At 44.1% G+C, this 15,918-nt stretch overlaps 1 protein-coding gene and 1 long non-coding RNA gene across 18 annotated transcripts in view; one reads left to right on the forward strand and one right to left on the reverse strand.

The window, feature by feature from the left end:
* LOC101928415 (uncharacterized) overlaps nucleotides 1-15,918 on the forward strand; it is a 69,547-nt gene that overhangs the window by 17,862 nt on the left and 35,767 nt on the right. The gene's annotated exons all lie outside the window — the stretch shown is intronic.
* ADGRG2 (adhesion G protein-coupled receptor G2) overlaps nucleotides 1-15,918 on the reverse strand; it is a 133,650-nt gene that overhangs the window by 16,142 nt on the left and 101,590 nt on the right. For all 16 annotated transcript variants that reach the window (XM_006724455.3, XM_047441758.1, NM_001184835.2 and 13 more), the window contains 9 exons: nucleotides 15,656-15,750; nucleotides 14,151-14,217; nucleotides 8,238-8,626; nucleotides 5,165-5,330; nucleotides 4,178-4,334; nucleotides 2,532-2,675; nucleotides 1,787-1,909; nucleotides 772-817; nucleotides 554-657 (listed from right to left, as the gene is read on the reverse strand). In XM_006724455.3, coding sequence (XP_006724518.1) covers nucleotides 554-657; nucleotides 772-817; nucleotides 1,787-1,909; nucleotides 2,532-2,675; nucleotides 4,178-4,334; nucleotides 5,165-5,330; nucleotides 8,238-8,626; nucleotides 14,151-14,217; nucleotides 15,656-15,750 — 1,291 coding nt within the window. The remainder of the gene's footprint in view (nucleotides 1-553; nucleotides 658-771; nucleotides 818-1,786; nucleotides 1,910-2,531; nucleotides 2,676-4,177; nucleotides 4,335-5,164; nucleotides 5,331-8,237; nucleotides 8,627-14,150; nucleotides 14,218-15,655; nucleotides 15,751-15,918) is intronic.

Consider the following 15,918-nt stretch of genomic DNA (forward strand, 5'->3'; position numbering starts at 1 on the left):
GAGAAAAACTTAAATGTAAAAAGAGAATGTGAAAAAATACTTGTCTTTCATGTTCAGGTATTTTCCTTCAGGTGCATTTGCTTATTAGAAGAGGAATCTCTCTCTCTTTTTTTTTTTTTTTTTGAGATGGCGTCTCTCTCTGTTGCCCAGACTGGAGTACAATGGTGTGATTTCGGCTTACTGCAACCTCTGCCTCCCAGGATCAAGCGATTATCCTGCCTCAGCCTCCTGAGTAGCTGGGACTACAGGTACGCACCACCACACCCAGCTAATTTTGTATTTTTAGTAGAGACGGGGTTTCGCCATGTTGGCCAGGCTGGTCTCGAACTCCTGACCTCAAGTGATCCACCCACCTTGGCCTCCCAAAGTGCTGGGATTACAGGCGTGAGCCACCATGCCCAGCAAAGAGCAATCTCATTGGTGTATAAATCAGCCACAATATCATATCTGCTGATCTGTCACGGTTATCCATCCATCAGATTAGACATTGTAGTGTGATGCCCAGCTACCCCTCAGACTCAGAATTTAAGGCCACGTGGCACAGGCATATTACCAGCAGAACGCCGAAGCTTGTTAGATGGCTACAGGTACAGATGGTTTCATTCAATCTCCTGTCTTTGACAGAGCAGCCATTGTCTGACCAGCCTCCTCTGCCACCTGTTGGCATTGGGAAGAACATCTGTCCCATCAGCAAGGCCACAGCACCAGTGACTTCACACCCTCCCCAATTAACCCACTCAAGAGTTTGAAAAGGTTATGACTGGAACTTACCATTTCTGCCCAAGTCCCAAAATACACATCTCACTGTTAACTCATCCTGTGGTAGAAAGATAAATCACACATAATTAATTTACTGAACTAAAAAAAAAAAAAGCAAAACTGAAAGGTATTTGAAAAGAAAAAAAACTGTGGTTTTTTTTAAATTTCAGAATCTTAGGCTTAATTTTTAGAGAGTTCTTATTTTATATGGTCCCTAGAAGCAAGTAAGCCCTAAATAGACCAGCACTTCTTAAGCTCATCAATCGTGCATAGGAATCACTTTGGGGCCTTGTGAAAATGCACATTCTGACTCAGTGGGTCTGGGTTAGGGCCTGAGACTCTGCATTTCTAGCAAACTCCCAGGTGATGCTGATGCTGTGGGTCTGTGGACCACACTGTGAGTAGTGAGGTCGTAGATGATGCTTAGTGTGAACTGAGCTGAGAATCAGACCTGCAGCCACAGATCCACACACACTGATATCTGATATTTCACAGTTGTTAAGAGCTTGCTTTTGCACCAATTCTTCCTGGAAATTAGGTGGTCAATTTTTTTTTTTTTTTTTTTTTTTGAGACAGGGTCTCACTTTGTCACCCAAGCTGGAATGCAGTGGCCCCAACATAGCTCACTGCAGCCTTGAGCTCCCGGGCTCGTGATCCTCCCGCCTCAGCCCTCCAAGTAGCTGGAATTACAGGAGCCTGCCACCACGCCCAGCTAATTTTTGTATCTTTTGCAAAGATGGGGTTTTGCCATGTTGCCCAGGCTGGTCTCAAACTCCTGAGCTCAGACAATCTGCCCGCCTCAGCCTCTCAAAGTGCTGGGATGACAGCATGAACCACTGCACCTGCCCTGGTCAATTATTAAGTGTGTTAAAATCCAATGGAGAGATGTGATTCTAGTCCTGCAAACTACTCCAGCTGAGCTGAAGGTTCTTTCTGCCTGATCTGCCTTTTGCCGGCCATGCCTTACAAGCATAGTTTGTACAAGGTGTTCCTGGTCAATGAACAGACGGCACTGGCCTCTCCCCACCTGGCTCGGGTTGATGTGCTTTAATGTGACTGTCACGTTTCTTGTCAAGTTCCTGACGGTCAGGTTTGCAACACTCGATGATATGACGTAGCTGATCAGAGAGAGGTTCTCCAGGGAAGGATCCTGGCACATCAAGATGGCAAGGGTAAATGAGATATTGTCAGAGTTTTAGAGCTAGAAGGAACACTAAGGAATATTCAGTCCACATTGTTTATCTTACAATATAGGTCAGAAATCGAGGGACAAGGAGGAAAGTGACTTTCCCAAGGGATCACAATCAGAGAAACAGAGCTTGTTCTACAATACAATGCTCTAAATACTGAGCTAAAGCGCACAGATTGACACAACAGGATTTTGTGAATCTTTAAAGAGAACATAGCATTAAGCCATTTAAGCCGTGTGTCCCCAAGCAAGTCACTTAACGTCTCTCTGCGCCTCCATGGCTTCATCTGTAAAATGGGATAATAATAGTTCCTTCCTCTCAGGGTTGTTGAGAGGATTAGAGTTAACATTTGTAACTGCTTAGGATAGTGCTTGGCAATTGGTAAATATAAATACTATGTAACTGTCAGTTACTGTTATTTATCATCACCAGTATCATTAGGCTGCATTTAAAAATGAACTGCAGCATTTCGGCAATTCATTTGACTTACGGCAGCCTTAAGAATATTCGAGCACTAAAAGAAATGAAATGCCCTCATCTCCAAATAAAGCCCAAGCCAAAAGCAGTGAGCAGCAGTTTTACCTGAAACAAAGCAGGTGTTTCAAAAAAATTGAACTGAACCCTGGAAGCTAGCTCCATGTCATGAGCTGGTAAATTATTCATCAGCGATGAAGGAAGAGTAATTGTGCCAATACTGTTCTCAGGAGCTTGGGTTTCCAGAGAAACCTGAAAATCAAGTGGAAGATAAGAATAAATGTCTGGAGCTAGTATAATGAGATGGAAAACACATCTATTAAGTTGGTGCAAAAGTAATTGCAGTATGTGCCATTTTTTTTTTAAAAAAAGATAAAAACCACAATTACTTTTGCACCAGCCTAATAATTAAAACGCAGGGTTCTGTAAGGACCTGACCTGCGGCATCTCTATGCAAAATAGCTTCTACTTCTATTCCTCTGGTTGCTACTAAATTAAAGAAAGGAAGTATAGGCTGGGCACGGCGGCTCACACCTGTAATCCCAACACTTTGGGAGGCCGAGTCGGGAGGATCACCTGAGGTCAGGAGTTTAAGACCAGCCTGGCCAACATGGCGCAGCCCTGTCTCTACTAAAAATACAAAAATTAGCCGGGTGTGGTGGCAGGCGCCTGTAATCCTAGCTACCTGGGAGACTGAGGCAGGGGAGTATCTTGAACCCGGGAGGCGGAGGCTGCAGTGAGCCAAGATCGCACCAATGCACTCAACCCTGGGTGACAGAGCGAGACTCCATCTCAAAAAAAAAGAAAAAAAAGGAAGTGTAATAAGGAGAGGAGGCCTCCAAGAAGGAAAGGAAACATTTTAAGGATGCAAAGAAATAGTTGAAAAGTGCAAGATGACTGCAGACCCCAGGGAGACTGTAGCAGCAGACACACCAAGTTAGTGACCAGTTAGAGTCAAGTCCTCATAGAACCATGTGCAGTACACTTGTAAAGGGAAGACTATGAAAATTAAAAAGCGAGACTTGGTTTCCTTGGGTGTTTGTAGCCCCCAATCCCTCTAAATAGGTGGACAGAAAACACTAGAAACAGGAATGATACTCAGCACCACTATATACAGCAGTGCAGTTCTAACACTTGTTATAATATCGAAATGTGATGTTAAGTAGCTGACACCCCTGCCTACTCTCCCAATTGCCTAGAACCCTCTGCTGGATACCACCCATGCCACATTCCAAAATTCAGCTGCTAAAGGGTTAACGCAAGGTGTAAGGGGGACCTCTGACATCCTGTACCAGCCAAGACCAACGTCTTTTTTTTTTTTTTTGAGACGGAATATTACTCTGTCGCTCAGGCTGGAGTGCAGTGGTGCAATCTTGGCTCACTGCAACCTCTGCCTCCCGAGTTCAAGCAATTCTCCTGCCTCAGCCTCCTGAGTAGTTGGGATTACAAGTGGATGCCACCACGCCCGGCTAATTTTTGTATTTTTAGTAGAGATGGGGTTTCACCATGTTGTCCAGGCTGGTCTTGAACTCCTGACCTCCAGTGATCCACTTGCCTTGGCCTCCCAAAGTGCTGGGATTACAGGTGTGAGCCATGGCACCCGGCTTGATTCTATGGTGCCTCACTGTTCTAGATGCCAAATATTTTGAATATCACCCCTGACTATAAGCAGTAATTGCCTCAATCATGAAATACAATGGGGACTACAATCACACACAAGAGAATGTTTTTTTCTGCCATCAATTATGATGTACCTGAAGATTTGCAGGGTCTTGGGCCACAAAGGTAGTTGTGTTGAAACTACTGGCATTCACTCTGATCACAGCCAGAGCCAAAGAAGGGGAGGTTAGACTTATAGTCGTGTTTGAAAAGTTCAGCTGTAGGCCAATGTCATCCACTACTTTCAGCAATCTGTAAAGAAAGGTTGGCAGTTTATTATTTATTTATTTATTTATTTTGAGACGGAGTCTCGCTCTGTTGCCAGGCTGGGGTGCAGTGGCGTGATCTCGGCTCACTGCAACCTCTGCCTCCTGGGTTCAAGCAATTCTACTACCTCAGCCTCTCAAGTAGCTGGGACTACAGATGCACACCACCACACCCAGCTAATTTTTTGTATTTTAGTAGAGACGGGGTTTCACCATGTTGGCCAGGATGGTCTCGATCTCCTGACCTCGTGATCCACACGCCTCGGCCTCCCAAAATGTTGGGATTACAGGCGTGAGCCATCGCGCCCAGCCTTGTTTTTGTTTTTGTTTTTTTTTTTTTTTGAGACAGAGTCTCACTCTGCCTCCCAGGCTGGAGTACAGTGGTGCCATCTTGGCTCACTGCAACCTCCACCTCCTGGGTTCAAGTGATTCTCCTGCCTCAGCCTCCTGAGTAGCTGGGACTACAGGCACGCATCACCATGCCTGGCTAATCTTTGTATTTTTAGTAGAGACGGGGTTTCACCATGTTAGCCAGGCTAGTCTCAAACCCCTGACCTCAAGCGATCCGCCCACCTCAGCCTCCCAGAGTGGTGGGATTATAGGCATGAGCCACAATGTCTGGCCTCAAGGTTGGTAGTGTAGATTTGGCAGTCCCATCTGTCTCCTCATTCTAAGCAGAATATAGAGTAGCAACCTGAGAAACCATGATGTACCTGGTACTTGGGAGTAAAAGACTTGGTGATATTAATCATGTGAGCAGCATCTTTATCTTTGGAGGGTCCCCTCTTACCACCACTTCAGTTTGCGAAGTCGTACCTTTGAGCCAGAGGGGCCAGCATGTCAGGCGGGGAATGAAGGAGTCTGCTGACTTGGTTGATCATTTCTCCTGCGAGGTTAGGCTCCAGGCTGCCCAAGGACAGAGCCTTCTCCATCTGCAACACTTGGTTCTCAAGATCAGAAATACTGCTGGTGTTGACGATGTCTATATCAAAGAGCCAAATCGTGTTATGAACACACAATGGAAAACCCACTAATAAAGATAAACGTACATAGACCCTGTGATATGGCAAACTCACTCCTGGGTATTTGCCCCAGATAAATACAAACATATGTCTTAGGAAGACTTGTTCATGAATGTTTATAGTGGCCTTTTTCATAATAGTCCCAAACTAGAAACAACCCGAATGTCCATGAACTGGAGAATGGATCAACAAACTATGGTACCTCCATACAGTGAAATATTATTCAGCAATAAAAAGGAATTAACTCTAAATACACACAATGGCATGGGTGGATCTCCAGTTTTCCAATACATTATGCTAAGTGAAAGAAGCCAAACTCAGAAGGCCACATACTAAGTGAGTCTCTTCATATGATATTCTAGAAATATCCAAAAACCTGTATGGAAACAGATCAGTGGTGGCCAGGGGCTGGGGGTGAGGGGATTAGGTTTTGACTTCGAAGGGACACAAGGGAACTTTGGGAGTAGTGGGAAACTTATGTATCTTGATTATGATGGTGGTTACGTGACTGTGGGTGTTTCTAGCTGCACAGAACTGCAAAAATTTGATTTATCCATAAAATTGGATACATTTTACTGTATGCAAATTTTACTTCAATAAATCTAAAAAATATAAAGCACATCAGTGTATTTAGTATATACTCATATAAGCACAAGTATACTTGTATTTAATTTGTATCATGTGTACAGGATTTTATGTGGATTGCTGGAAGCTCTTTTGTGAAAAAGAGAATATTATGGGCTGGGCACGGTGGCTCGCGCCTGTAATCCCAGCACTTTGGGAGGCTCTGAGGCAGGTGGATCACCTGAGGTCAGGAGTTCTAGACCAGCCTGGCCAACATGGGGGAACCCTGTCTCTACTAAAAATATTTAAAAAATTAGCCACGTGTGGTGGCATGTGCCTGTAGTCCCAGTTACTCGGGAGGCTGAGGCACAAGAATCGCTTGAACCCAGGAGGCAGAGGTTGCGGTGAGCCGAAATTGCGCCACTGCACTCCAGCCTGGGTGACAGAGTGAGACTCTCTCTCTCTCTCAAAACAAAAAAGAATATTATGAAAGCTGGACTATCACCTGTAAGTCTGATTTTTAATAGGGAAACAATGATACAAACCTGTCTTTAACAACAGACAACTCTTAATTTCACCACTTAACATCCTATTATTTTGCCTATTCCCGTCAAATCTTTATGCATGTGTATTTACACTGTTATAAACATGGTGTGCAAACTATTTGTTGTTGGGCTATTTTCACCTCACATCAAGACTTGAAAATGCCCCCAAGTTTCTGTATATTTCTGTTTCTGTTCTAATGACTTACATGGTCGCATAATAGTCATTGTGTTACAGTAGCATATCTTATTTAATCATTCCTGTCTTCTGGAACCATTACGTTTATTCTAATTTTTAGCTCCTGGGTAACACCTCAATCTGTATCTTTTATGAATATGTCACTTTGCTTCTTGTTGCCCCAGGAATACATAGGCACCAGAGGCCACCTTGATAGTGTTTTGTGTAGCCTGTTAGGCTGAGTCTAGGGATCACTGGGAATTAGCTTTGGGAAGGTGGGCATCTTAGGCCCAGGCTAATGAACTTCAATTTTACTGTATTCTTCATCAGCCATTGGACCTTCCTTTGACTACAGCCCCAATGCTTTTCTAATTTGGCTGAAAATATTTACATTTATAAAAAATTATTGGCTGGGCACAATGGTTCACACCTATAATCCCAACGCTTTGGGAGGTTGAGGTGGGAGGATCACTTGAGCCCAGGAGTTTAAAACCAGCCTAGGCAACATAGCAAGACCCCAAAGCTACCAAAAAAAAAAAAAAAAAAAGAAACAATTTAAAAAACTTTACTGAAGAGAGAGCAGTGCAAATTTGAAGAAATATGAAGTCATTTGGCAGAAGCTCCTCATCTCCTGGTGATGCTGGCACCAGGGTGGAGGAGGTGGGTACCAAAATCAATCTAATGTCACCAAAAACTTGGCTTTGCCTCCCCCATCCTCCAAATTCTAGAGGAAGACCTGCCTCTTACTCATGGAACTGAAACTTCAGTGTATCCAGATTTCTCTCAGCTTCTTTCCCTCTTGCCTTTATCTCTGTACCACTAAGCCCACTTTGGACCCTGGAGGCCTTGGCGGTTTCCACAGCATTCTCACGTACACCTTCATTCTCAGCCTCATGCAGTTAGTGTGATGATTTTGATCCTCGCATAGAACAGGCGGAGGCAGAAGGAGCTTGTTCCAGATTACACTGTCTGCGAGGGCCCGTGCGGACCCAAGCCTGGGTCTTCACAGTGTTTCTCCCCTCCTACCACTACCTTGGCTCAGTCCCAGCTCTGTCACTCTGTGACTGACTGATTTTCAGACCTGCCAATTTTTTCTTTTGTCTTCTGTCTAAGCTGAGCTGCTATGTTTAATAGATCAAAAGTTTACTCTTCAGGGTGTTGAAAACAGTGTTCCAACCAACTTTTGTAGGAGAAAGAAACCTAGAAAATCTCCAACTCCATCAAATGAGATCTGTGCTTGCCCTTTAGAGCTATTTCTCCATTATCTTGGTCAAAACAATGGAACTCAGCCACAGCCAAGAAGCAAAGTGACAACTGCATGAAAGATACCGATACCTGGGAGCTAAAAAGTAGAATAAACTTAATGGTTTCAGAAGAGAGGAATGATTAAATTAGATATTGATTAAATTAGATATGCCACCTCAACACAATGACTCTTATGCAACCATGTAAGTCATTAGAACGTTAGAATCCCGAAAGGAAAGCTCTAGAAATCAAGCGAACATCATACAAAGAAAGGCTCAACATGGTCTTATCATAGATGTCTTGATTGGCAGATTGGCCGCTGTTCAAGTGACATTTACCTGTCTGGACAGGAGGTGCGCTGGTAGTGTTGACATTCGCAGGGGCAGACACGGTGGGAGAGGAAAATGAGGCTTTCACAGGAGGTGGGGTGCCGGAGACATGGGTTTGGGGCATAGGGGAAGAGATCGTTTCAGACTGTGGGGGCATGTCAATGGCAGGGCTGGAAGCTATGGGAGCTGAAGGCTGGGGTGAAAGGGGTTGAATCTCCCCTATTGGAGAGGGAACATTGTGGGTCACAGGTGAATAATCTGGAGGCTCAGCAAAAGAGGTAGCTTTGGGGACCTGGGAAAGCACAGTGGCCCGAGGCACCACTGGGATGGATTGGCTGGAAGAAAATGGTGGGCCACGTGGATGGTCAGCAAGACAGACAATGGGATCCTGCAGGTCACTAAAGGAACAAATCAGAGAGATACATGTGAGACACGAATGAGCTACAGAGGGGGCAAGTCTTTCCCCTCTGGCAATCATCTGACACCGTCAAGTTGACGTAGTTACATCAGGGACATGACACTTCCAGCCTCTGCCATTTCACACCCTCTGTGCACCTGCCACTATCCCCCAGCCCCTGCCCACTTCTACCACCTACTTCCTGGGAGAGGAATGGGCAAGGAGAGATGCTCTTCTGTGACTCCCCAGTTCACTGCTGCTCTGTGGCTCTGTGTCTCATGGTCACTCAATTGAGGGAATCTTCTCTGTGCTCCCGGGTGAGGGGAACTGCGAAATGTCTCGTGACCCAACTGGTTTTCATATACTAGGAATCTGTCTTAATCAACTTTACACTGCTATAGCCTGGCATAGTGGTAGCTGACCCATGGTAACTGACCAAGAAATGTTGGTTGAATGAAAACAATGAATCAAGCTGGGGCAAAAGAGGTGGTCTACAGCAGCTGTGTCTTCAAGGTTCCTTTAGCTCAGTGGTTCTCAACCTTGGCTGTGCATGAGAACTACCCAGAACATTTTTTTTTGAGACAGAGTCTCACTCGTCACCCAGGCTGGGGTGCAGTGGCGTGATTTTGGGTCACTGCAACCTCCGCCTCCTGGGTTCAAGTGATTCTCTTGCCTCAGCCTCCTGAGTAGCTGGGACTACAGGCACCTGCCACCATGCCCGGCTACTTTTTGTATTTTTAGTAGAGATGGGGTTTTGCTATGTTGGCCAGGCTGGTCTCGAACTCCTGACCTCCGATGATCTGCCCGCCTCAGCCTCCCAAAGTGCTGGGACTACAGGCGTGAGCCACTGTGCCTGGCCCAGAACACTTTTTAAAACATATGTGTATATAGATTTCTATGGCCCACTCCTCTGTGTTTGATTCAGCTGGTCTTGGGATGGGGCATATGTATTTTCTAAACTCTCTGGTGATTTTCATGGGCATCAAAGGTGGAGAAGTCCTCACCTACTCTCTGGCACAAGATCCATCAGTCTTGAGAGATCTAGGGAGGAACAACTAGAGGAGGAGCAACAAATTATTACCCAGGGAATATTTACTCAAGGAAGCCTCTGATCGATCTAGTGTCAGATGGAGACTTAGAACACCAACAAGAATGTGTTCTTAGAGCTTCTCTAGGGTGAGAAGAGGGAGGAATATTAGGTCAAGGGGCCTAAAGCAAGTCACATCTATAAAAAGAAAAGCCTGCTTGGTCCAGTCTGGCTGGTCACTTGGCCACAGGCCTCCCTGCATCCCCTGAGGTTCGGGGCAGTGAGGATAAAGGGTGTCAGACAGTCAGAAACATCATGAGTCAAAAAGCCTAGACTTGGCTGGGCACGATGGCTCACGCCTGTAATCCCAACACTTTGGGAGACCGAAGCAGTGGATCACCTGTGGTCAGGAGTTTGCGACCAGCCTGGCCAACATGGCGAAACCCTGTCTCTACTAAAAATACAAAAATTAGCCAGGCGTGGTGGCGGGTGCCTATAATCCCAGCTACTCGGGAGGCTGAGGCAGGGGAATCACTTGAACCCGGGTAGCGGAGGTTGCAGTGAGCCAAGATTGTACCACTGCACTCCAGTCTGGGTGAAAGAGCGAAACTCTGTCTCAGAAACAAACAAACAAACGAACAAACAACCTTCACTAGGGCTCCAGCTTTCACTACTCCTGTGGACAATTTACCCAACATCTCTCAGGCTCCATTCCCTAAACTGTACACTGTAGCAACCCACCTGGCCAAGTTGGGGTAAAGGTGCTTTGCAAAGTATACATTAAATTTTCTTCAGCTTATCTGGGGGCCTTCAGAAGGCCCCGTTCACTGGGCTCAACTGTGAAGAGGTTGCCTTCTACTCCTGTCATTTATGCTAGTCAGAGCCCTCCATCCACTGTGAGGCACACAGGGAAGCGGCAGAGCAGTGGTGGGCAATGCCAGCAGTACATCTGAACCCCTCAGAGTACCTCGGCACCGATGCCTGGGCTCCCACTCCAAACCAGCTGACCTGGAACCTCTGGCGGTGGGCGCAGTGCCCATTTTAATGCATGGCATTTTAATGTGCTTCTTTACTGCGGTGTAGCCTGCATAAAGTGTACTAATCTTAGATTTAGAGCTTGACGAATTTTATATATAATCACCACCTAGATCAAAGCAGAGCATTTCCAGCACCCTAGAAGGCCACCTTGACACATCAGTATGTTTTAAAAATACCCCAGGTATTTCTAATGTACAGTTAAACCTAAGAACCAACATATTAGAAAGACCCTGGGTGGGCATCTAATTCTAGCCCAGTGGTTCTCGAACTTGGCTGCACATTAGAACCACCCCACCCAGGAGTTTTTAAAAACTGGGAAGCCCAGGCCACATCCTACACCAGTCTCTGAGGGTGGGAGGCAGGCATCGATGTATTTTTGTTTTTATTTTTTATTTTTTATTATTTATTTATTTATTATTATTATACTTTAAGTTTTAGGGTACATGTGCACAATGTGCAGGTTAGTTACATATGTATACATGTGCCATGCTGGTGCGCTGCACCCACTAACTCGTCATCTAGCATTAGGTATATCTCCCAGTGCTATCCCTCCCCCCTCCCCCCACCCATCGATGTATTTTTAAATTCATTCATTCATTCATTCAGAGACAGGGTCTTGCTTTATCACCCAGGCTGGAATGCAGTGACATGATCATGACTCACTGCAGCCTCCACTCCCCAGGCTCAAGTGACCCCTCCTACCTCAGTCTCCCAAGCAGCTGGGACTACAGGTGTACATCACCCTGCCCGGCTAATTTTTAAAAACTGTTTGTAGAGACAGGGTCTCACTATGTTGCCCTGGCTGGTCGCGAACTCCTGGCCTCAAGCAATCCTCCCACCTCGGCCTCCCAAAGTGCTGAGATTACAGGCGTGAGCCACCATGCCCAGCTGCATCAATGTTTTTAAAACGCTCCAGAGGATTTCAACATGCAGCCAGGATTGAGAACCACTAGCACTGCTCTACAGTCTCTATACAGACCCTCGGTGCTCAAAGTGGGGTCCATGAACCAGCAACACTGGCTTCACCTGAGGAGCTTGTCAGAAATGCAGACTTTCAGGCCCAGGCCTTACTGGATCAGAATCTGCATTTTAACAAGATCCTGAGTGATGGATGTGCACGGTGATATTTGAGAAGTGTTGATCCAGTCCATTTCCTAATTTTACAGAGCTCTAACTCACTTCTTCATTTGATCTGAGATGCTGAAGGTAAAAAAGCATCTGCTCTGGAACACGGATACACAGCTAGTTAATGACTGAGCCCTAACTGGACATCAGTTTCACATCCTGACCCCTTTTCTATTCCTGTTTCTTCTTCTTAACCACTAGGGGCAGCCACTAGGGGTCAGTGGGGCTGCGTCAAAAGAGGGATGCTCTTCTGATCCGATCCCAATGCTTCCAGAAACTCTATCCCCAAAATGGGGCTCAATGCTCCAGCTTAATGGGGCATGTGAAGCTGAATGGGGCATGTTACTCTTTACTTTCTATTGCAGAAAATCCTGCTACAAATCCTTAACCAAAGACTTTTACCTGTTCCTCAAGGTCCAACGTTTTAATATTAGTATATCCCAGAAATCTGGCCCACAAAGGGCAGACAGGCTACACTTAGCCTTCTCTTCCCATCTGAGAAGCTACACAGATTTTTTTAAGTCCTTTTTTTCCAAATACAATTTTTATCTGATTGTAGAAGAATATAGAAAATGCTGCAAAGTAAGAAAGAAAAGAAAAAGTAAAAAAAAAAAACAAACAAAACTCATAATGCCAGCAGGCAGGTCACTCATGGGGAACCACAGTGAACATTTTCATTCCTGTCCTCCCTGTTTTTTTCTATGTATACACCTGTGGTCACATCATGTGTGACTTTCAGAGTCTTTTGCTGTTTTGGAGCACCCATCTCCCAGTTTCCCTCCATTGGAGCAATGATTTTAAGGCATCAATTCTCAACTTTGGTTGCACATTAGAATCGCCAGCAGGGCTTTTATTTTTATTTTTATTTTTATTTTTTTTGAGACAGCGTGTTGCTCTGTTGCCCAGGCTGGAGTGCAGTGGCATGAACATAGCTCACTGCAGCCTTGAGTTCCTGGGCTCAAGTGATTCTCCCACCTCAGACTACAGGCACGTGCCACGATGCCCAGTTTTTTGTTTGTTTGTTTGTTTGTTTTTTTTTAATTTTTTAGTAGAAATGAGATCTCACCCAGGCTGATCTTGAACTCTTGAGCTCAAGCAGTTCTCCTACCTGGGCCTTCCAAAGTGCTGAGATTACAGGCGTGAGCTACCTTGCCTGGTCCAGAAGGGCCTTAATGCCTAGGCTATATCCCAGGCCAATTAAATCAGAATCTCTGAGCCTGGTGACTGGGAATCAGTATTTTTTTTTAACTTTTTATTGGAACTAATTTTAGGTTTACAGAAATACTATAAAAACAATACAAACAGCTCTGTATACCTCCCACGCAGCTTGGTCACCCAGTGTTAACATCTAACATCCAGAATTAGACCCAAATGTCTATCAAAATTTAGTATAAGACAAAGGTGACATCTCAGATCACTGGGGAAAAGATGAACTTTTTCGTATTTAACTACATAAAATTGTTTCAAAATTTCCATGACAAAAAACATGATAAAGTCAAAAGACAACTAAAATACTGGGAGAAAATATTTGCAACATATACCATAGATATGCATATAAAGAGCTAATATGCACAATATATGAAGTACTTTTTTTTTTGAGACGGAGTCTTGCACTTTCACCCAGGCTGGAGAGCAGTGGCGCAACCTCGGCTCACTGCAAGCTCCGCCTCCCAGGTTCATGCCATTCTCCTGCCTCAGCCTCCTGAGTAGCTGGGACTACAGGCGCCCGCCACCATGCCCGGCTAATTTTTTTTTGTATTTTTAGTAGAGCTGGGGTTTCACCGTGTTAGCCGGGATGGTCTCGATCTCCTGACCTCGTGATCCGCCCACCTTGGCCTCCCAAAGTGCTGGGATTACAGGCGTAAGCCACCGTGCCCGGCTAAAGTACTCTTAAATAATGGATCAGATATCAATTAGAAAAAATACAGAAAAGACATGTACATGTAATTCACAAAAAGATACAAAACAGCCCCCAAATATATGAAAAAATGTTCAGACTCTGCCTTAGTAAGGAAATGTTGATTAAAGTAACACTGAGCTACCATTTCTCACCTATCAGACCGTCAAACATGTTTTTAAAATGACAAAACATTTAGTTGGTGAGTCTTGGGAGTCAGTGTTTTTAATGCTCCCCAGGTGATTCTAATGTGCAGCTAAGATTTCAAACCACTGGTTTAAGGCAGTGGTCCAAGTGGAAACTTCATACTGCAGAAAACTGCATTTTCCCTAAAATTGAAAGCCTTCTTTACTCCCAAAATTCTAAAACTCCTTAGCTAGCATGGTGATTTTTTTTTTTTTTTTTTTAAGGAGAAGGGTCAGCATGTTTGTTACATACCACTGAAGCTTTTCCAACTCTTCTGGGGAGGAAGGGCAGGGTATCCTGACAGAACAGCAGCAGTGTTCTAGGAGAGACAAAAGGAAAAGGAGTAAGAAAAATGCACGGTCAAGAACAAAGCAAGGTGGCAGCTCAGAACCATTAAGTATCACGGTTCCTACACTGCATTTAAAAGAGCAATTGTCTAAAACAGGTGATAAAATAGATTGGACGCCATTGTATTGACAATTATATACTGTATACATAGTAGTGCTCAAAAATATTTATTGATTTTTTGGGGGTTATATGCATGCAGCACTAATCACTCTTCAGCAACTCCTAAGAGGAATTCACAAGGAAACACATCTTGGAGGACATGATGTTAAGTGAAATAAGCCAGGCACAGAAAGACAAATACCGCATGATCTCACTCAGATGTGGAATCTAAAAAGTCAAACTCATAGAAACAGAGAGTGAAATGCTGTTTACTGGGGGTCAGAGGCAGAGGGATTGGGGAGATGTTGGACAAAGGACACAAAATTTCAGTTACGCAGGAGGAATAAAAGAGATCTATTGTACAACATGATGACTACAATTAATTAGAATGTATTGTATGCTTGAAAAGTGCTTAGAGAGTAGACCTTAAATGTTCTTACCACAAAAAATGATAGGTATGTGAGGTAATGCAAATGTTAAATAGTTGATATAGCCATTCTGTGATGTATATCAAAACATCACATTGTACACCACAAATATGCACACTTTTTGCTTGTCAATTTAAAAAGTGGACATATCCCAGTAGCAATCCATTGAACATTCCAAAAAGAATTCTCCTTCTCAACAGGGTTTATCATATTATCAAATAAGACATATTAAAACTTTATTAGCGGGGAGGGAGAGCATTAGGACAAACACCTAATGCATGTAGGGCTTAAAACCTAGATGATGGGTTGATAGGTGCAGCAAACCACCACGGCACATGTATACCTATGTAACAAACCTGCACGTTCTGCACATGTATCTCAGAACTTAAAGTAAAATAAAATAAAAAACTTTATTAGCAAGCAGGAAAAATAACCTTCTAGGGCTCTTTAAAAATTGCCCAATGGACAGGTGTGGTGGCTCATGATCCCCAGCACTTTGGGAGGCCGAGGCAGGAGGATCACTTGAGCCGAGGAGTTCAAGAACAACCTGGGAAACATAAGGAGACTTCATCTCTATTAAAAATGTTAAAATTAGCTGGGTGTGGTGGTGCATGCCTGTAGTCCCAGCTACTCGGGAGGCTAAGGTGGGAGAATCACCTGAATCCGGGAAGTGGAGGCTGCAGTGAGCCATGATTGTGTCACTGAACCTGGTGACAGACTGAGACTCTGCCTCAAAAAAAAAAGAGAGAGAAATTGCCCAAGGACAAAGGAGTCAAAACAGAAAGCTGTAACATATGTAAATTTATTAATTACATTTTCAATTAGAAAAATAACACATTAAAATCCACATGAAGATTAATGCAGCAATAATAGACAACTTACCCATTGGTCGAATCTTTACTCTTTCCAAAGCAGCTATTACAGCACATGCATTCATTGTATTATTCAGTTTTATTGTGAATGTACAATTTAATGTGCTGTAAGGAGAAATATACATAACCAGAATGTTACTAAATGGGAAACCTACTTACATATTTGTAATTGCTTTTGCAAACTTAGAGTGAGGAAAGGGGACACTGATACTGTTAACTTGTGATGTCACCCCAATAAGCTTGTAAATACCCATTTACCACGGTCTGAATTTT

The sequence above is a fragment of the Homo sapiens genome, chromosome X (genome assembly GCF_000001405.40).
Source record: "Homo sapiens chromosome X, GRCh38.p14 Primary Assembly".
Lineage (NCBI taxonomy): Eukaryota > Metazoa > Chordata > Mammalia > Primates > Hominidae > Homo > Homo sapiens.